This window comes from Homo sapiens, chromosome 1, assembly GCF_000001405.40.
Source record: "Homo sapiens chromosome 1, GRCh38.p14 Primary Assembly".
In the NCBI taxonomy this organism is placed as follows: Eukaryota; Metazoa; Chordata; class Mammalia; order Primates; family Hominidae; genus Homo; species Homo sapiens.
This window is the reverse complement of record NC_000001.11, coordinates 54,407,051-54,428,410: the sequence shown is the minus strand read 5'-3', so window position 1 is coordinate 54,428,410 and position 21,360 is coordinate 54,407,051. Positions and strand designations below refer to the sequence as shown.

At 49.2% G+C, this 21,360-nt stretch overlaps 1 protein-coding gene across 4 annotated transcripts in view, besides 2 other annotated features; it reads left to right on the top strand.

Moving 5' to 3' along the window:
* The first annotated feature begins 14,920 nt into the window (after window positions 1-14,920).
* The window catches only part of SSBP3 (single stranded DNA binding protein 3), a 188,059-nt gene continuing 181,619 nt past the window's right edge, over window positions 14,921-21,360 (top strand). For all 4 annotated transcript variants that reach the window (NM_001394365.1, NM_001394366.1, NM_001394364.1 and 1 more), the window contains exon 1: window positions 14,921-15,055. The gene's annotated coding sequence lies outside the window, so the exon portion shown is untranslated. The remainder of the gene's footprint in view (window positions 15,056-21,360) is intronic.
* Window positions 16,594-17,369: an enhancer, noted in NCBI's record as "H3K27ac-H3K4me1 hESC enhancer chr1:54876715-54877490 (GRCh37/hg19 assembly coordinates)". NCBI's record gives its function as "activates a minimal SCP1, AML or CMV promoter by ChIP-STARR-seq in primed H9 embryonic stem cells {active_cell/tissue: H9 hESC(primed)}" and the evidence as "EXISTENCE:reporter gene assay evidence [ECO:0000049][PMID:30033119]".
* Window positions 19,779-20,688: an enhancer, noted in NCBI's record as "H3K27ac hESC enhancer chr1:54873396-54874305 (GRCh37/hg19 assembly coordinates)". NCBI's record gives its function as "activates a minimal SCP1, AML or CMV promoter by ChIP-STARR-seq in primed H9 embryonic stem cells {active_cell/tissue: H9 hESC(primed)}" and the evidence as "EXISTENCE:reporter gene assay evidence [ECO:0000049][PMID:30033119]".

The window sequence follows — 21,360 nt, the reverse complement described above, 5'->3', positions numbered from 1 at the left end:
TGGCCAATTTTTGTATTTAAAGTAGAGACGGGATTTCACCATGTTGGCCAGCCTGGTCTTGAACTCTTGACCTCAGGTGATCTGCCTGCCTTGGCCTCCCAAAGTGCTGGGATTACAGGTGTGAGCCACCACATCTGGCCACCTGCCGTTTTTATTTGGCTATTTTTTTTCAAACTCAAGTGTTATCTCCTCTGAATAGTCATCAAAAGACAACATCCCCCTTCTGATGTGTCTGTCTGTCCCACTAGACTGTAAGCTCTGTGCTGGTTCTTCTTATATAAGAAGCTGGTTCTTATTGACTCTGTATCCCCGGTGCCTAGCTCAAGGCTGGTACACAGGAGAAACAGTTTACTTGTTGAATATTTCTGTAATTAAAAAATAGGCTGGGCTCAGTGTCTCACACACCTGTAATCCCAGCACTCTGGGAGGCCGAGGCAGGTGGATTGCTTGAGCCCAGGAGGTCAAGACTAGCCTGGGCAACATGGTAAAAACTCATCTCTACAAAAAAAATTAAAAAACAAAATTAGCAGGGTGTGGTGGCACATGCCTGTAGTCCCAGCTACTTGGGAGGCTAAGGTGGGATGATCACTTAAGCCCATAGGTAAAGGCTACAGTGACCTGTGATCATGCCACTGTACTCCAGCCTGGCCGATAGAACAAGACCCTGTCTCAAAAAACAAAACAACAATAACAACAGCAACTTTAGGCCAGGTGCGGTGTCTCAAACCTATAATCCCAACACTTTGGGAGGCTGAAGTTCAAGGATTCCTTGAGGCTTGGGGTTCAAGGCCAGCCTGGGCAATATAGCAAGACTCTATCTCTATATAATTTAAAATAAAAACAGACAAAAACAAAAAACTTTATTTATTATTATCTTTTTTAAATTTTTGAGATGGAGTCTCATTCTGTCCCCCAGGCTGGAGTGCAGTGGCGAGATCTCGGCTCACTGCAACCTCTGCCTCCTGGGTTCAAGCAATTCTCGTGGCTCAGCCTCCTGAGTAGCTGGGATTACAGACACCTGCCACCACGCCCGGCTAATTTTTTTGTATTTTTAGTAGAGATTGGGTTTTGCCATGTTGGCCAAGCTAGTCTTGAACTCCTGACCTCAGGTTATCCACTCCCCTCAACCTCCCAAAGTGCTGGGATTACAGACATGAGCCACCGCCCCAGCCAAAAACTTTATTCTTTAAATCAAAATGTATCTTACCATACATTCTGTCTGTAACCAGTTTTTTCTATTTAACAATATATCATAAAAATATCTTTCCATCATATTGTGTCATTTTAATAGCTACATAGTGTTTCATGGCATTGACACACTGTGCTACAAATTATTCAACCCTTACTGGTGATTGGTCATTTAGATTGTCTCTTTTTTTTTTTTTTAGCATTATAAACAATGTTGTGGTATATACTAACAATGTTTATATACTAATTTATAAATTTACAATACTATAAACAATGTTTTAGCATTATAAACAATGTTGTGGTAAACTTCCTTTTACATAGATCTTAGACACTTGTGTTACTTACCTATGATAAATCCCTAAGAGTGGTATGTGGCTTAAAAAAATCAGATAGGGGCTAGGCGCAGTGGCTCACGCTGGAAATTCCAGCACTTTGGGAGATCGAGTTGGGAGGATTGCTTGAGCCCAGGATTTTGAGACCAGCCCGGGCAACATAGTAAGACCCCATCTCTACAAAAAAATCTAAAAAATTAGGCCAGGAGAGGTGGCTCACGTCTGTAATCTCAGCACTTTGGGTAGGCCAAGGCAGGCAGATCACTTGAGGGCAGAAGTTTGAGACCAGCCTGGCCAACATGGTGAAACCCTGTCTCTATTTATTTATACATTTTAATTTTATTTATAAATTAAAAATAAAATATATTTTAAAAGTTAGCCAGGTTGGCCGGGCACGGTGGCTCACGCCTGTAATCCCAGCACTTTGGGAGGCCAAGGCGGGCGGATCACGAGGTCAGGAGTTCAAGACCAACCTGACTAACATGGGGAAAACCCGTCTCTATTAAAAATACAAAAATTAACCAGGCATGATGGTGCGCGCCTGTAATTCCAGCTACTCAGGAGGCTGAGGAAGGAGAACTGCTTGAACCCGGGAGGCAGAGGTTGCAGTGAGCGGAAATTACGCCACTGCACTCCAGCCTGGGAGGTAGAGTGACACTTCATCTCAAAAATAAAATAAAGTAAAATAAAAAATAAAAATAAAAATTAGCCAGGCATGGTGGCACACACCTGTAGTCCAGCTACTTAGGAGGCTGAGGTGGGAGGATCACTTGACCCTGGGAGGTTTAGGCTGCAGTGAGCTGAGATCACACCACTGCACTCCAGGCTGGGTGACAGAGTGAAACCCTGTCTAAAAAAAAAAAAACTTAATGAAAAAAATTCAAAACCAGATGACTGAAAATTATTTGCTGTGCCTCCCATCAAGAGATGTGGTCTACATCCCCTTTTTCGAAACCCTGAAATCTGGTGAAGCTGTGCTGCTGGGACCACTAGAGTACAGTAGAAGTGACAAGGCATGACTTCTGAGGCCAGGTCATAAAAGTTCATGCAGCTTCCACTTTGGTTTCCTAGAATATTCCCTCTCAGGACTCAGGACTCTTTTTTTTTTTTTTTTTTTTTGAGACAGAGTCTCGCTCTGTTGCTCAGGCTGGAGTGCAGTGGCGCAATCTCACCTCACTGCAACCTCTGCCTCCCAGGTTCAAGTGATTCTCCTGTCTCAGCCTCCTGAGTAGCTGAGATTACAGGTGCCCGCCACCACGCCCAGCTAATTTTTTTGTATTTTTAATAGAGACGGGGTTTCACCATGTTTGCCAGGCTGGCCTCGAACTCCTGACCTCAGGTGATCCACCCGCCTTGGCCTCCCAAAGTGCTGGAATTACAGGCGTGAGCCACCGCACCGGGCCAGGACTCTCCTTTTTGAAACCCAGCTGACATGCAGTGAATTGCCCAAGCCACAAGGAGAGGCCATAATCCCACCTGAGCCCAACTTTCAACTCATCCGAATTCAGGCATCAGACATGTGAGAGAAGAAGCTTCCAGAAGATTCTTTCTCTGAACTCTTGTAGTCTTCCCAGTTGAGGCCCCAGACACTGTGCAGCAGAGAATAAACATCCCTGCTGTGCCCCGTCCAAGGTCCAAAGAATCCCTGAGCACAGTCAAGCGGCTGTTGTTTACACCACTACGTTCAGGGTGGTGGTTATGCAACAATAGTACCTGGAATAAAAGCAATTTCTCTTATAAAAATATACACATTTCTGGCCGGGCGCAGTGGCTCATGCCTATAATCCCAGCACTTTGGGAGGCCAAGACAGGCGGATCACCTGAGGTCAGGAGTTCCAGACCAGCCTGGCCAACATGGTGAAACCCTGTCTCTACTAAACATAAAAAATTAGCCAGGCATGGTGGCACGTGCCTGTAGTCCCAGCTACTCGGGAGGCTGAGGTAAGAGAATCGCTTGAACTCGGGAGGCGGAGGTTACAGTGAGCTGAGATCACGCCACTGCACTCCAGCCTGGGCGACAGAGCGAGACTCAGTTAAAAAAAAAAGTGTATATATATACACATTTTAAACCTTTTGACTATTTAGAAAATGCTAAATTAAATCACAGTGCTCGTAAATGTTGAGAAAAAAAACTACATTAAGACTTTATAGCTTAATACAAGAAGACATGTTGACTCAGAAATGACTTCCATGACACAGTGGGGAAGGTGTATGTCTGGGCTGCTACCTTGAACAATCTTACTGACATGTCTGCTTTAGATTGGGTTCCCTGGAAACCAACCCTCATTCAGAGAGTTGTGGCTCAAAGTTTTTGGGGAAGTGCTCTTAGAAGATGTGCCTGGAAGGCAGGTAAGAAGGCAGGACTGGGCAGAGGCAGAAATCGACCTTCAATGGCTGTCATTAAGGCCTCAGCTGATCCCACAGAATGCCCTAGAGCTGAGATGGCCCTTCAGATGTGTCCTAAGTAGGCTGGCTGTAGTGGCCTATGCCTGTAATCCCAGCACTTTGGGAGGCCGAGGCGGGGGCATCGTTTGAGCCCAGGAGCTCAAGACCATCTTGGGCAACATGATGAAACCCCATCTCTACTAAAAACGGAAAAATTAGCTGGGGGTGGTGGCATGCACCTGCAGTCCTACCTACTCGGGAAGCTGAGGTGGGAAGATCACCTGAGTCCAGGAGGTGGAGGTTGCAGTGAGCTGTGATTGTGCCACTGCACACCAGCCTGGGCTGCAAAGTGAGACTTTGTCTCAAAAAAAAAAAAGAAAAAAAGCTGCAGGGGCCGACACGGTGGCTCACATCTGTAATCCCAGTACTTTGGGAGGCTGAGGTGGGAGGATCACTTGAGGCCAGGAGTTCAAGACCAGCCTAGCCAACATGGTGAAACTCTATCTCTACCAAAAGTACAAAAATTAGCCAGGTGTGGTGGCACATGCCTGTATTCTCAGCTACTCTGGTGGCTGAGACAGGAGGATCACTTGAACCTGGGAGGTGGAGGCTGTAGTGAGCTGAGATCAAGCCACTGCACTCCAGCCTGGGTGACAGAGTGAGACTCGGTCTCAAAAAAAAAAAAAAAGGCTAAGTTGAAGCAAGGGCAGCCAGCTGGCCATTGCACCTCCACATTAGCCAGGCATGGGCCATGAGCCACCCGCTGGGAGGGGGCATAACCTTGAGTAAGGATCTCTGCAGCTGAGGAAATTCCTTGTGAGAGATACAGTTGGCGTTCAACCACAGCCAATATTCCAAGCAGCTTAGGATGGGTGGCTCAGCCAGAAGGGGATCTAGGCAGAGAATCAGAGTAGCCACTACAGTCCAACCCTTGCACTGCTCCTTTCCATTTGCTTCTGTGAAGTTTGACCCATTTGGGAATGGCTTCTCTAGGTTTCTGGTTGGGTTTGTTTCCTGTGAAACTCAAAAAAGAAGGGTTAGTGAGATGAACTGTAGAATTAGTTGCAGAAGTTGATCTCAAGACTGTAATAGATACTTGTTATCACACTCTTCTACTACCTGTCCTAGATTCCCCTTACCTTTTGCTAGCATTTCTTATTTTTTTTTTATTTTTTATTTTTTTGAGACAGAGTCTCGCTGTTATCACCCAGGCTGGGGTGCAGTGGTGTGACCTCAGCTGACTGGAACCTCTACCTCTGAGGTTCAAGTTGTTCTCCTGCCTCAGCCTCCCAAGTACCTGGGATTATAGGTGCCCACCATCATGCCTGGCAAATTTTTTTTTTTTTTTTTTTAGACAGAGTCTCACTCTGTTACCCAGGTTGGAGTGCAGTGGCGCCATCTCAGCTCACTGCAAGCTCCGCCTCCTGGGTTCACGCCATTCTCCTGCCTCAGCCTCCTGAGTAGCTGGGACTACAGGTGCCTGCCACCAAGCCTGGCTATTTTTTTTGTATTTTTAGTAGAGGCGGGGTTTCACCATGTTGGCCAGGCTGTTCTTGAACTCCTGACCTCATGATCCACCCTCCTCGGCCTCCCAAAGTGCTGGGATTACAGGCGTTAGCCACAGCACCCGGACTTGCTAGCATTTCTTCCGATTTGGGCAGTTTGTCTGGTGGAGATCCAGATCCTCAACCCTGAAGGGTCCAAGCCCCAGGTTACTGTGCCCTGCTTAAGCCATGGCTGCTTTACTTGTCCATGTACCAATAAAGCCAGGCACAGTAGCACCAGAAGACCCCCCAGTGCATCGCCTGAGCATGACTCATATTCATCTCTGTTCCTATTATTTAGCCACATACCCTACCTCCTACTGATGACCGGGGTAATTATCGCCAACATTATGGTGATTCCTTTCCTTGCTGATGGTCTCTTAGCTCAATACATTCAAAAGAATCAAGAAGCAGTCATAGTGTAAAATTCAAAGGAACTTCTACTGTGTCCCCAATGGAAATATTCCCCCTCTCGGAGCTCTAGATCTGCAGAGCTTTGTGTTGCAGGGATAGGAAGCTCCCCTTAAAGATGGTATAACTTTGGATAAAGTCATTCCCTGCAGCCAAAGGCAATTCCCAGGGAACAATGCTCCTGTGAACTGTTAGCAGCCAATACTTCCAGAAGCTGATGAGCGTGTTGGCCCTAGAGAGGACATCTTGGTGAATTACAACCCCAGTATCCACTGCAACATCTGAGATTCACTTTCCTAACCATAAAATGGGAATAACAATGGCTTATTGGCATGGTACTGGGAAGGAAATGAGATAAATGATAAATGAGATAATGTATGTTAAAAATTCTGGAAAAAAAATTCTGTAATCCCAGCACTTTGGGAGGCTGAGGCCGGTGGATCACCTGAGGTCAGGAGTTTGAGGCCAGCCTGGCCAACGTGGCAAAACTCCGTCTCTACTAAAAACACACACAAAAAAATTAGCCGGGTGTGGTAGTGCATGCCTGTAGTCCCAGCTACTCAGGAGGCTGAGGCAGGAGAATCGCTTGAACCTGGGAGGCGGAGGTTGCAGTGAACCGAGATTGTGCCACTGCACTCCAGCCTGGGCGGCAGAGCAAGACTCCATCTCAAAAAATAAAATAAAATAAAAATAAAAATTTTGGAATTGTAATCAACAAATGTTAGTTATGTCAAGAGCTCCATAAAGTGATCATGCTTCCTTTTTTGCCTTGGCCAGCAGGGAGCTTATAGCTTCATCTGGTGCACATTCACAGAAGATATACTGCTCATTTTCATTCTCTTCTTATTTCCTTGGTTCTCCTGGTTTCTTCTTCTTTTTTCTTTAATTAACCTTACACACAATCCTTTTGTTGCAATCTCTTTGAACTGGAATCATTTTTGCAGAGTGGCAGGGGATAAATAAATGCCTAGCAGAGGGACTTGCTGCTCTGAAGACAGTTCATTTTCCAAGAAGTAACAATGCCTCACCTAGAACACCGCCCCAGCACCTTGTTCAAACCTAGCCAAGCTTCACGACTGGGTCTTTGATTTGTTTTGGCATCTGCCAACCAACTGGCACCTAAGCGTGGGAATCCCTCCATGCAGAGGGTGACTCACAGCTCTGACAAGTTGGAAAAATACAAAGCAGGTACCAAAAATGGGCGGGGGGTGGTTAGTGTTATCAGGCACTCCCATCAGCCAAAGACACTGCTGGTAATCTTTATTCCTGCCCTCCTTCCAGACTTCCCACCCTTCTACCCACCCGCATATGGCTCAGTTAGTAGTCTCACCCTACTTTGGGAATTGAGCCATTTAGGGGACAGAGACATAGCAGAGAGATGAGAAGGTAGAGAGGGACTGGAGCATATGTGACCCAGATGTTATGGCTGAGCTTGGTCCTCCCACACCAGGCTGCCCATCGGGTTTGGCCCTGACCTCAAGGCATCTGGAGGACCCCGTCATGGAGTCAGAAGGCCCCAGATGGGCCAGCTGGGTTCTCTGCCTTGAGATCTCTTCACCATCTCCAGGCTAATCCTGTGAGCTCCCACCTCCCCCGCTTCTCTCCCTCCATAGGAGGCCTTGGAATGCCAGTGGGGTGCCATGTCTACTATTATTTCATGTAAGTATATAAGATGAACCACACTCATCAATAACACTTCCCTGGAAATCATGTTAGCAAGCATGCTTGCTGAGGGGTTTCAAATGTCCCACTGTTCACGGCTTTTGGCTCCATCACCAGTTGTGGTTCCATGGCATGTTCAGGAGTAGGAAGAGCTTGAGATGTCCAGTGTTGAGTTTCCCAGGGCAGGGGTCTTGTTCTTGCAATCACATCTTTGTCTAGTAAGAACAAGCACATGAGCGTGTTCACGGAACCCTTATGGGCTGGGACTTGGATTTCAGGTTCTGGGGGCTCTGGAAGGGAGAGAGAAGGTCAAAACAGTGATGACGCTGGGTAAGAGGCTGGAGTTGGGATGTGTAGATTCCAATCCTAGCCTTGCTGCCTACTAGCTGGGTAACCTGGTAAATTGCTCTTCTTCCTCTCCAAGCCTCAGCTTCTCCCCTGGAAAATGGGTGACATAATACCCACCTTTAGGGTTGTTGTGACTGCCAATAAAACAGCATTTTATTGGTACAGTGGCTCACGTCTGTAATCCCAGCAATTTGGGAGGCCGAGGCCGGTGGATCACTTGAGGTCAGGAGTTCGAAACCAGCCTGGCCAACATGGTGTAACCCCGTCTCTACTAAAAATGCAAAGATTAGCCGGGTGTGGTGACACATGCCTGTAGTCCCAGCTACTTGGGAGGCTCAGGTAGGAAAATCGCTTGAACCTGGGAGGTGGAGGTTACAGTGAGCCAAGATCTCGCCACTGCACTCCAGCCTGGGCGACAGAGCAAGACTCCATTTCAAAAATAATAATAATGATAATAATAATAATATTTAGAGGCTGGGTGCAGTGGCTTATGCGTATAATCCCAACACTTTGGGAGGCTGAGGCTGGGGGATGGCTTGAGGCCAGGAGTTTGAGACCAGTCTGGGCAACATAGTGAGACTCTTCATCTCTTCTGTTTTTCTTTTCCTTTTCTTTTTCTTTTTTTTTTTTTGAGACAGAGTCTCGCTCTGTGGCCCAGGCTGGAGTGCAGTGGCACGATCTCGGCTCGCTGCAAGCTCCACCTCCTGGGCTCATGCCATTCTCCTGCCTCAGCCTCCCAAGTAGCTGGGACTATAGGCGCCCGCCACGATGCCCGGCTAATTTTTTGTATTTTTAGTAGAGACGGGGTTTCACCATGTTAGCCAGGATGGTCTCGATTTCCTGACCTCGCGATCTGCCTGCCTCGGCCTCCACAAGTGCTGGGATTACAGGCGTGAACCACTGCGCCTGGCCTCTTTTTCTTTTTTTTAGAGCTAGAGTCTCACTCTGTTGCCCAGGCTGAAGTGCAGTGGTCTGATCTCGGCTCACTGCCATCTCTGCCCCCCATGTTCAAGCCATTTGCCTGTCTCAGCCTCCTGAGTAGCTGGGACTACAGGCGCATGCCGCCATGCTTGGCCATATATATATATATATATATATATATGTGTGTGTGTGTGTGTGTGTGTGTGTATATGTGTGTGTGTGTGTGTGTGTGTGTGTGTGTGTATATATATTATTAATTTTTTTTTTTTAGAAGAGACAGGGTTTCACTATGTTGGCCAGGCTGGTCTTGAACTCCTGACCTCAAATGATCTGCCCACATTGGCCTCCCAAAGTCCTGGGATTATAGGCATGAGCCACCGTGGCCAGCCTCTATTTTTTTTTTTTTTAAGAAAGAAGTAAAAAGAATTGAAAAAAAAAGATAACATTAAGAAAACTAGCACCTTTTGGCTGGGTGTGGTGGCTCACGCCTGTAATCCCAACACTTTGGGAGGCCGAGGTGGGCGGATCACAAGGTCAGGAGATCGAGACCATCCTGGCCAACATGGTGAAACCCTGTCTCTACTAAAAATACAAAAATTAGCTGGGCATGCTGGTGTGTGCCTGTAATCTCAGCTACTCAGGAGGCTGAGGCAGGAAAATCGCTTGAACCTGGGAGGCAGAGGTTGCAGTGAGCTGAGATCACGCCACTGAACTCCAGCCTGGTGACATAGCAAGACTCTATCTCAAAAAAAAAAAAAAGAAGACTAGTACCTTTTACCATTTCCTGATCAAACACCAGGCTAGGTACTTGGCCAAGCATTTTATAGCTATTGTCGCTTTTATTACTTTATTTATTTATTTATTTGAGACAGAGTCTTGCTTTGTTGCCCTGGCTGAAGTGCAGTGGTACAATCTCAGCTCACGACAACCACTCCCTCCTGGGTTCAAGTGATCTTCCTGTCTCAGCCATCCGACTAGCTGGGACTACAGGTGCACGCCACCATGCCTGGCTAATTTTTGTATTTTTTTTACTAGAGACGGGCTTTCACCATGTTGGCCAGGCTGGTCTCAAGCTCCTAACCTGAAGTGATCCACCCGCCTCAGCCTCCTAAAGTGCCGGGTTTACAGGCGTGAGCTACCATGCCTGGCCTTATTTATTTTTTATTATTTATTTATTTATTTATTTTGAGATGGAGTCTTGCTCTGTTGCCCAGGCTGAGTGCAGTGGCACGATTTCGGCTCACTGCAACCTCCGCCTCCCGGGTTCAAGGGATTCTCCTGCCTCAGCCTCCCAAGTAGCTGGGATTACGGGCATGTGACACCACGCCTGGCTAATTTTTTTGTATTTAGTAGAGGTGGGGTTTCACCATGTTAGTCAGGCTGCTTTCGAACTCCTGACCTCAAGTGATCCACCCACTTTGGCCTCCCAAAGTGCAGGGATTACAGGTGTGAGCCACCACACCCAGCATTTATTTCTTAAAATTATTTTTTAAAAAGAGAGAGAGATGAGGTCTTGCAGGCTGGTTTGTGATCCTCCCATCTCAGCCTCCCAAAGTGCTGGGATTACAGGCATGAGATACCATGCCCAGCCCCCAGAGAAGAAACTTTTAGACAGGTCCCTGAAGAAGTGTGATGGTGACTAGGGTCACACCAAGGCAATGAGTGGCTGGTGTCAGAAACATTTCCTAGCACAGATAATTGAAAGAGGCAGTCCTTTGGCCTTGGGGTCCTTCTGTTCAGGGAGGGGCACTGAGCAGAGGGTAACAGTGACTCAGGAGCCAGCTGAAAGCATGAAAAACAAGTTGCTGGCCAGGCGCGGTGGCTCACGCCTGTAATCCCAGCACTTTGGGAGGCCAAGGCAGGTGGATCACGAGGTCAGGAGATGGAGACCATCCTGGCTAACACGGTGAAACCCTGTCTCTACTAAAAAAAAAATACACAAAAAATTAGCCGGGCATGGTGGCGGGTGCCTGTAGTCCCAGCTACTCGGGAGGCTGAGGCAGGAGAATGGCGTGAACCCGGAAGGCAGAGCTTGCAGTGAGCCGAGATGGGGCCACTGCACTCCAGCCTGGGCGACACAGCAAGACTCCGTCTAAAAAAAAAAAAAAGAAACAAGTTGCTGACTGCCCGGTTTTGCTGTGGGCTGCCCAATGCCTTGTCCTGTTTATAACGGTAATTTGGGGAAGTGGGGGAGTGTGTATGGGCGACTCTCTGAGGGTTGGAGCTGAAGGCTTGAAGTTAGGTTTCCTAAACCCACATCAACCTAGGAAACGTTTGTGGGAAGGAATGTTGCAGATGGTTTTCTGTGTGTGTGTGTGCATGTGTTCAAGAGAGGCCAGCAGCAACAGAGAGGCAGAACAGTGAGAGAGGGACAGCGAGAATGAGAGGGACTGAGCAAAGAGGAGAGAGACAAAGAAAGGAAAGGAGAAAGAGAAACAGAAGTCAAAAGATACACAAACAGTAGATGAGGCCAGGAGAGAGGACAAGAGAGGAGGACAGAGATACGCAAGAAGGCGGGGAAGAGAGAAAAACAGAAAAGAGAGAATTCATTTGACAAATGCTTGCTGAACACCTACTAAGTGCCAGGTGCCATTCCAGGCATTGAGGATAAAACAAAGGACAAAACAGACAAAATCTCTGTCCTTGTGGGTCTTTCCAGTGGGAGAATGGAGAACCTCAGAGAGATGGTAAAAATTCAAAGAAGCCCACAGAAAGAGACTGAGGGACAAGTGTTCAGAAAGACCCAGAGACAGAAATAAGCTAAGACACAGAGACAGAAGAGGCTGAGACATGTAAAGACGCAGAGAGACAGAGGCACAGCAGAGAGACGAGAACGTGGGAGCCCCAGGAGCAGAAGCAGAGGGCCAGCATTCTAGAGGGGGTGAGAGCCACAGCCCAAGGGCGCTGCTGGAGAAGCTCTTTTCCTGCCAGCCTGCTCAGCGCCACAGCACTAGTGCTCCTGGGTGACCGGTGCTCTCTCATTCCCTCCTCCCAGCGTCCTCTTCAAGCTCCCAATCTAACCACTGCCACTCCCTGTACTCACTGCCCTGGACTCTCTTGCACTGGGCTGGAAGGATCCTGAGGTGCTCAACAAGCATTTGTTGACTTCAGGAACTACGGCCTCATCATATGGATGGGTAAACTGAGGCCCAGGCTAACAGTTCAGGATGGCTTCCTGGGCCTCCTGGGTTGGAAGCAGTGCCAGATAAAGGACAGAGCATTCAACTGGGAGCTAGGACCCTTATGGTGAGGTGGAGGGTGGGTGCTCTCAGAGGTTTCTGCCACCTCCACAACTGTGGAGCCTATGAATCATGTGAGAGTAAGTTTTGGAAGAGACCTGTATTTGAAAGCTGGGACTTTGACGTTTGCCGATGTCTGTTTCCGTGGAAACAGGAATCAGAATCACAGAACAAGCCTGCGAGCTCTGCTCCGGGTGCCCCAGATTGCTAGGGTGAGAGGGCCGCTGACTGGCACACTCCATGTGTCATCCGCATGTCTCTGGAGTCCTCTCAACCCCCAGCACGGGCTGACGGGGGAAGGAAGCAGGGCTGGAGCCCCTGTAGGAGGGGTGGCTAGATGGGAAGTTTTGAACACAGGGCTCCACAGAGGGAATAACCAACCTTTACTGAGCACTCTTTGGGCATCTAGTGCTGATCTCTGTATCCCCACCCATGCGGTGTCGGGTACGCGGATGGAATGGAATGAGTGGCTCAGATGAAGAAACCTTGCCATTTCCAGCACACTCATCCTCAGGATGAAATTACTCTGTTATGCTTTGCCACAAAACATGGATCCTTCATTTATTCGGCACACATGTAAGCCAAGTACCGGGCAACACAGAGGTTAACAGGAACCTGTTCTTGGCATCCCTCAGCATCCACAGGTGTCCAGGCTGGGTCCTGAGTTCACAGATGCTCATGAATTCCTACATGAAGCTGCAAGAGCTTCCTGGTCACCTTCCAGCCTCATCTATCACCACTTCCTCCTGAGCCCCATGTGCACCCCCTGAACCCACCATTGCTCTAATATGTTGGCTGTCTCATGCCTCTGTGCCTTTGTCCATGCTGTTCCCATGGTCTGGGATCCCTTTACCTCTGCTGGCCTGCCTAGCAAACTCCTACTCATCCTTTAAAGCCACAGCTCCAAGCCTGTTTCCCCTGGACAGCCTCATCTCCTAGACTGTGAGCGCCTCGATGGTGCAGGCTGAGTCCCTCCATGTCTGTGTGCCCAGAGAGGTGAAGGCACTTTTCCAACCCTACTGAGGCCACTCTCCTCCCTCTTCTTAGGGACTCCATGCTAGCTTCACCCTCAACCTCCATCTAGTTCCTCCAGCCTTGCCCTCTGCATGGACTCCCTGCAATCAGCATTTGTGCAGGTTCTAGTGTCTCCCACTTTCCAGCAAAACACAGCAACACTCTTACCTGTGGGTGCTGGCTGTCTCTTACCCCAAGAGTTATCCACACTTGCTGTCTCCTCTCTCCCTCCCACTCCTCCACGGCATTCTCTCTCCTCTGCCTCCCTTCCACTCCTCCACTGCCGGGGTCTGGCTCCAGCCTCATCACTCCCCTAAAACTGCTCTACGTGGCCGGGCGTGGTGGCTCACGCCTGTAATCCCAGCACTTTGGGAGGCTGAGGTGGGTGGATCACCTGAGGTCAGGAGTTTGAGACCAGCCTGATTAACATCATGAAACCCCATCTCTACTAAAAATAACAAAAATCAGCTGGGCGTGGTGGCAGGTGCCTGTAGTCCCAGCTACGCGGGGGGCTGAGACAGGAGAACTGCTTGAACCCGGAAGGCAGAGGTTACAGTGAGCCGAGATCGCGCCACTGCACTACAGCTTGGGAAACAGAGGGAGACTCCGTCTTAAAAAAAATAGTAATACTGCTCTACACCGGCCAACTGTGCCCTTCACAGAGCTCTTTCCAAAAGCCGTGTTCATGCTCTCCGTTGCTCGGCCACTCTCTCCTGGAAGCGCTGTCTTCCCGGGGCTGCCTCCTCCTCTGCGGCTCTGAACAGTCCTCCTTGGTCTCCTTCACTGGCTCCTCCTGCATCAGCCCTGCTGGTAAACCTAGGAGCCTGTCCCTAGCTTCCCCCTGAGAGCACTCATCCATTCCCATTACAGCCAGAGGAAGGAAGGTCACCTCCTCCAGCTGCCTTCCTTGACACCCTGGGGCAGCCTAGCGCCCCTGCACTGTGCCCACGGGGGCCTATGTGTTCCATCACCACCCTTGTCACGTTGGATCTTGTAGGTACTAATGGAGTCATCTGCTTCCCCACAGGTGACAAACCTCCAGGAAGCAGGGACCACAGCTCTCTTGTTCACACATCCATCCCCCACATCCAGGACAATCCCCAACAAGCAACGGGCTGTGAAGGGAGATAGGGTCAGATCATGAAGGACCTTGAATCTTTTTGCTGCAGAATTTGGGCTTCATTTTGGATAAAATGGCGATTCCCCAAAGGGTTTTAAGCAGGAGCGTGACATGGTCAGACCTGTGCCTTAAACACATCCCTCTGGCTGGGGAAGGGAGGGTGAAGGGGAGTGTTCTGAAGGCAGGGAGACCAGTTAGGGGCTGTGCAACAATTCAGGGCTGGACCCAACCATCTCTACCACACACCATGGGGCCGGTCTCTGCTTCTCCTCTTTCTCACTCCCAGCCAGTGCCAAGCTTGGCCAGCTGGATCTGGTAAACACGGCACCTTCTGTGTGCTCTCCTCACCTGATAGAACGGTGTTGGTGCCGGGTACAGAAATGGAGATTGACTACAGGAATTGGATGGGGAGAAATAATGAGGCCAGCTCTGGACACATGGACTTTGAGGCACCAGAGAGACAGGCAGATGGAAATGCTCTGTAACTGAACACACATGGCTTTGGGGCTAAGAAAAAGGGTCTGCGCCAGTGGGATGGATTCAGGAGTCATTGTCATTGAAGTTCAGATGCAATTAGTGCCATGTGAACTTGCCCAAAGAGAGAGAGAAGGTCCAGGACAGAGCCTGAGAGAAGCCCATCTGTCCTAGATTTTACTACTGTTCAGCAAACATTCACTCCCCCTTCCTGCCCCATTGATGCTGGGCTTGGCCATGTGACTTGGGAGCGGATGTGAGGCTTGCGTGAGTTGGCCTGGCCTCTGGAGCTCCTTTTACTCTGGAAAGAACATGACAGACATCCTCTGCCCTTCAGCCTGTGCCCCAGAATGAGAGACCCATGGGACAGACTCAAGCTGTACCCTGAAGCAGAGCTGCCCAGTTGACTGCAGACCTGTGAGTGAGAAATAAATGGCTTTTATTATAAGCCACTGAGATTTGGGGGCTGTGTGTTAGGTAACACTGTATCAGCAATAGTTTGACTAATAAAATTTTTAGAGGAGGCTGGAGAAAAAAGAATCCGTTAAAGGATAACAGGAAGAATAGCCCGAGAGGAAGAGGGAAAACCAGGAGAGAGTGGAGCCCTGAAGCTGTGTGAGGAGAGGGTTTCAGGAGCATGGGAACCTCTGATGCTCAGACAGGGGTGTGCTGCGCCATTCTGCACCATGTCCGTAAGTCTTTCCCACATGTGATGCTTGGGTCATCACCCATCTCTTTTTAGTTTTTTAAAAAATTGCAGGCCAGGCGCGGTGGCTCACACCTGTAATCCCAGCACTTTGGGAGGCTGAGGTGGGTGGATCACGAGGTCAGGAGTTTTGAGACCAGCCTGGCTAACATGTTGAAACTCTGTCTCTACTAAAAATACAAAAATTAGCTGGGCGTGGTGGCGTGCACCTGTAATCCCAGCTACCCAGGAGGCTGAGGCAAGAGAATCACTGGAACTCGTGAGACAGAGGCTGCAGTGAGCTGAGATCGCGCCACTGCACTCCAAACGGAGCGACACAGCAAGACTCTGTCTCAAAAAAAAATATTGCAGTAAAATATATATAACAAAATTTACCATTGTAACTCTTTTATAGCGTACACTTCAGTGGCATTGAGTGTATTCACATTATTGTGTAACCAATGGAATCATCATCCATTTCCAGATCTTTTTCATCTTCCCAAACTGAAGCTCTATTATCATTAAACGCTAACTCCCCACTCCCTCCTTCCCCAGGCTCTGGCAACCACCTTTCTACTCTGTCTCTCTGAATTTGACTATTCTAGGTACTTCATATGACCGGAATCGTAGAGTATTTGTCCTTTTGGGTCTGGCTGATTTCATTTAGCATAATGTCTTCAACGTTCATCCATGCTATAGACTGTATCAGAACTGCATTCCTTTATTATTTATTTAATTTATTTATTTTTAAATTTTTTTGAGACAGAGTTTCGTTCTGTCGCCCTGGCTGGAGTGCAGTGGCATGATCTCGGCTCACTGCAATCTCCACCTCCTGGGTTCAAGCGATTCTTCTGCCTCAGCCTCCTGAGTAGCTGGGACTACAGGCACAGGCCACCACGCCTGGCCGAGGGCAGCTGTCATTCTAAAGAGGTTCCTTTGGGAGGGGCTCTGGTGATTTGACCTGGAGGAAATGAGGTGGGAGTGAAGCCTTTACCTTGGAGAAGAGTGACCAGCAAGAGCAAAGTTTTGGCAAGTGAATGAAAATAGAGCCATGCTGGTCCCAGGCTGAGAGAACTCAGAGGCTAGGGCACTCTGGTGAGTCTGGTGAGGTGGAGTTGGGGGAGTGGTGGGTGTCAGGTTCCTCTCCCCAGCTACCAGGATAGGGCCTTGCCTTCTGCTTTTTTTTTTTTTTTTTTGAGACGGAGTCTCGCTCTGTCCCCCAGGCTGGAGTGCAGTGACGCCATCTCGGCTCACTGCAAGCTCCGCCTCCTGTGTTCATGCCTTTCTCCTGCCTCAGCCTCCTGAGTAGCTGGGACTGCAGGCGCCCGCCACCATGCCCAGCTAATTTTTTGTATTTTTAGTAGAGACGGGGTTTCACTGTGTTAGCCAGGATGGTCTCGATTTCCTGACCTCGCGATCTGCCTGCCTCGGCCTCCACAAGTGCCGGGATTACAGGCGTGAACCACCGCGCCCGGCAGCCTTCTGCTTTCTTGTACTTCCCAGCGTCCCTGGCTCAAGTGATCCTCCCGCCGCGGACTCCCAAAGTGCTGGGATTACAGGCATGAGCCACCATGGCCTGTCAGAGTACTTAAATTCTTTTTTTTTTTTTCAAGACAGAGTATTGTTCTGTCGCTCATGATGGAGTGCAGTGGTGCGAGCTCGGCTCACTGCAACCCCCGCCTCCTGGGTTCAAGCGATTCTCCTGCCCCAGCCACCCGAGTAGCTGAGATTACAGGCACATGCCACCATGCCCGGCTAATTTTTCTATTCTTAGTAGAGACGGGGTTTCACCATGTTGGCCGGGCTGGTCTCGAACTCTTGACCTCATGATCTGCCTGCCTTGGCAGCCCAAAGTGCTGAGATTACAGGTGTGAGCCACCGTGCCTAGCTCAAATGCTTAAATTCTTATGAAGGAAATAGGTAGGAAAAAAACAAAACAAAACAAGGCTGAGCACATGGGTGCTTTCAAATTGAACTAACCGATTCTATACTAACCCATTCCATACTTGAAGCCTGTTTTGCTATGACAAATTGGCTCAGGAGAAGTATGTGTCCGTTGGAAGACATTTCAAAACACATTTGATTTTAAATTTAAATCCACTTCTTTCTTAGCACCTCTCTGTTTGCTGGCCATGAGTAATCATCTTTTTCAATTTTCGAAACATTTCCCCAATTACTGTCTCCCCTGAGCCCCCAAACACCCATCCCAAGCGGCTACTCTCCATCATCAGAACCTTGGGCTCAGCCAACACTGACTAATAGCCTAGTAGGCGATTCCCCATCACTTACCTCTCTTTGTCCTCCCAGCCTGCCTTTGGCATAGGCATTAACATACTCATTGCACAGAGAGGACGGTGAGGCTCAGAGGGGAAGGTCACTTGCCCAAAGTCTGCCAGCAAGGCAGTGAAGCCAGGTCTTTGCGTGTTGGATTTTGTATTCCCCCTGTGGAGGCCCCCGATCCCTCAGGGAAACTTCTGCTAAAACCAGAGCTGACCGGCCCGAAGGTTTTGATCAGAGGTATCCCCGTGCAATTCTAGGACTGAGCGTGCCGGGTGCAGAAGTGGGCTGCATACTCAGCTTCCACTGAAACAGCCCCCAGCGGGAGCTTGCATCCATCCTCCTAGCAGCTGTGAGGAGCACTGAAAGAGAGCTTTGAACCAGGGAAAGGGAACAAGGTCTTCTGGCATCCTTGGCAAGCACAGTCTCCTGGGTTGAGTTCATGGGCCTAAAGTCCCTTTTCCTTTAACCACCTCCTTCTGGAGGCCTGGACCCCAACCATCTGGTGCCAGAACCCAGGATTCCTGCTGCCCCAGTTGCTGGCAGCCAAGAGAGGAAGGAGCGGCCCTTCTAGCCTAAGCTTGGAATTCACCTCTCCGTCTTCACTCCCACCTCACTTGCATGTCCTGCAACATCTGGTCACCCAGTTCATCTGTCCTTCTGTTCCTTTCACCATGTTACTGGGCACTGAGGGTACCCCAGAAAATGATGATCATTCCCTGACCCTAAGGAGTCATATTCCCATGGGGAAAATGCACCCCTGAACCACACCCATGCAGTGGGGACACAGAGGGCACACCTGCCCCGAACTGGGAGTTCAGAGGGGGGATCTGGGAAGGCTCTCTGAAGGAGATGCTGCCTGCCCAGGCTGGATCTGAGAAGTGTTAGTGGGAGTCTGTCACCGGAGGGGGCTTTGGGCAGGGGACTTCACTACAGTGTAAGTTCCACGGGGTAAGGATTTTTGTCTGGTTTATCTCCCAAGGCCTAGAACAGCGTATGGTATATAGCAGGCGTTCAATAAGCAGGTCCTAAAAGAAAGAAGGAAAAGAAAAAAAGGAAGGGAGGGAGGCAAGAGAAAGATGGGGGACAGAGAGACAGAGAGAATATGAGTCAGGGTGGATGTGTGAAATGGCATAGCCATTCTGGAAACTGAAAGTACAGAGTTCCAGGTGTCTGTAGTTTAGGAGGGTGTGGCTGAGCCGAGGGAGTGGCCTTATCTAACCCTATTGTTGGTGGTATCCATTCCTTATCTCCCTACTGGGCCCAGTACTTTGGGGCTGGGGTGAGTTTTCCCTCTCTCTCTCGGTCCCTGGGGGCTCCTGGTGCCTGCACTGAGTGTTAACATACACAGGTATTGAGCCTGCGCTGTGTGCTGGAGATACACAGATAACTCAAACTGAGATCCTACCCTCCCAGTCTGGTGGGGGAGACAGACAGTAAACAAGTGGCTACAACAATGGGGAGAATGAATGGTGCCAGCAAAACGAGATAAGATTGGAGGGACAGAAGGACAGGTTTCACTCCAGGAGTGAGAAGCAGGGAGGTTTTTGTGGAGGAGATGGCACTGGAGGGAGGGGATGTTAGCCTTAAAGGATGGTAGAAGAAGGGAACTGAGGCAGGAAGCATTCCAGGAAGACAGACTTCAGGCCCAAAGATGTGGCCTGGGGGGATCCAGAGGGGAAAGGTAGACTGGGGCCTTGAATGCTGTTCATGGGTGTTTGGACTTGCTTCTGATCTGACCACATTTTGGATAATTGTGCCAGCAGCCACACACCTACTTAGGGCTGCTGAGTGGTCCTGCTTCCAGGGAACCCCTCAGCAATCTTCTAGCCAGCAGGGGTGAGGGGTGGCTAAGACACTCTCCCTGCTCTCTCTGCCCGGGCCCTCTCACCATCTCTTTTAGCTCCAACAAGGGATCTACCAACCATCGTGCAGCTTTGTTGTGTCAAGTTCCAGCAAAGGGCTGACCACAGAGTGCCTGGCACAGGATCTCTGAACCCTACCCCTCTCTTCTTGCCACATGTTTGGAAAGGAGGTGCTAGTCCTTTTTCCAGGGTGGTGGTAGGGAGAGAAAAATATAGGAGGGAAATTTTAACATTGTAGCACATCAGATTATCAAGAGATACTGTATATCTTCTAACCTCCCTTTGCCATTTGACAGGTGAAGAAACTGATGCTCAAATAGATATGCTTGTGTTGCAGCCATGAAGTTGATAAGGGCATGGCCAATCTGGTTGAGTCCTGGGTCATAGCAGGGCCGGAGAAGGGCAGTGTCTTCCTTTTTTTAGCCAGGACCAAACCGATACTCCTAATTTGTGGGCCTTGCAGACACAAGATGAGTCAGGCTTCTTGTGAGTCAGTCTGTTGACAAGCCATCCCTGGCCATTCCTAGCCCATTCAAAATAGAAGGAAGTCCAGGGCAAGGGTATGAGCAGGCCAATTTAATTAGTGTGGGCTCTAAGGTACCTTAAGTTAGCCCTATTAAATTAAACCGCCTAGGGGAAAAAATAACTGTAATTATTTCCTTCTCTCCCCTATCCTTGTATTCCAACTCCCAACCTCCATGCTTCCCTCATTCACGAAACAACCTTTAAAATAGGGACTAGCGCACAGACGCCCATAAACTAGGTCTCAGCGTTCCTTTTTTCTGCCCCTTTCCCCTGTGAGCGCTGGGTCCTGGAAGGGAGCAGAGTGAGTCCAGAGGTGTCCGCAGGGCCTGGCTGTACTCTAATTTAGGGAGGTTGTTACATTGAGTAGAACATTATTCCAAAAATGCACCCAGAGTCTCCTTCCTGAACCAATGCAGATTCTTTTGCTGCGGGGCATTTCTTTTAAAAGCCCCTTTTCTCTCTTCTACAGATCAAAATAAGCAAACTTTAATGGTAGGGAATTATTGTTTATTTTGTTGAAATCTAGTTCTGAGTTTTCCTACTTGAAACGTGTTTTCCCCAGGACACTGACCTATCCTTTAATTGTTTGGTGCGAGGCATGTTAGGGGGAGGGGCGTTACTTGTTTATTGGAACAGCGCAGTTAAAAAAAAAAAAAAAAAAAAAAAAAAAATCAACCTAGGCTAACAGTTTCAAGGCTCCCCTAAAGATGTATCCAAACAGGCAGCCAATCAGCGCTTACACAGCTTTTTCTGCTTGACTCTTTTAAAGAGACAGTGCCGACAGTGTTTTATCACATTTAAAGAGATCCGCTCTCTAAAAACAGTCTGAAAATGGGGGAGCCTTCCCCTATTTCGCCGGTATCTGGTCTTAAGAGTCCCTAATGAGGGGCACGCAGTGTGTCTTCTGGGTTCTCGGCGTGGGCAGAAAGGAGTCAGCAGCAAATAGCTGGGTCACTCTGCCAGCCCCCCCCTCAATTTCCCATTGTACACCTGGGTCACTGACAATGGAAGCTTCCCCTCCCCCTACGCCTGACTCTCGTCCCCTCACTCCCCAATTTAGCTCCATTTATTTGAAGTTTGCAGATTTCTGTGGCGAGCATTCCGCGTCGCGGGCCGCCCAGGTGACGCCCCCCATCTCCGAGTGGCACCCTTTCCCGTGCAGAAGCCGAGGGGCTAACTTGCCAAGACTGGCAAACCTTGGAAATTTGGGAGAAATCACTCTCCCTCCTCTTAATTCAAGTCCCCTGTCCCCAGCCCCCCTCCCCCCCGGCTCCCCAAAGCACGCCAAGGGCCATTTTCGCGCGGCTCCACTTTGGGGTTTTCCAAAGTATTTTAATGATCTAGTAAAGGAGCAGCCGCGCGCCTCGGCG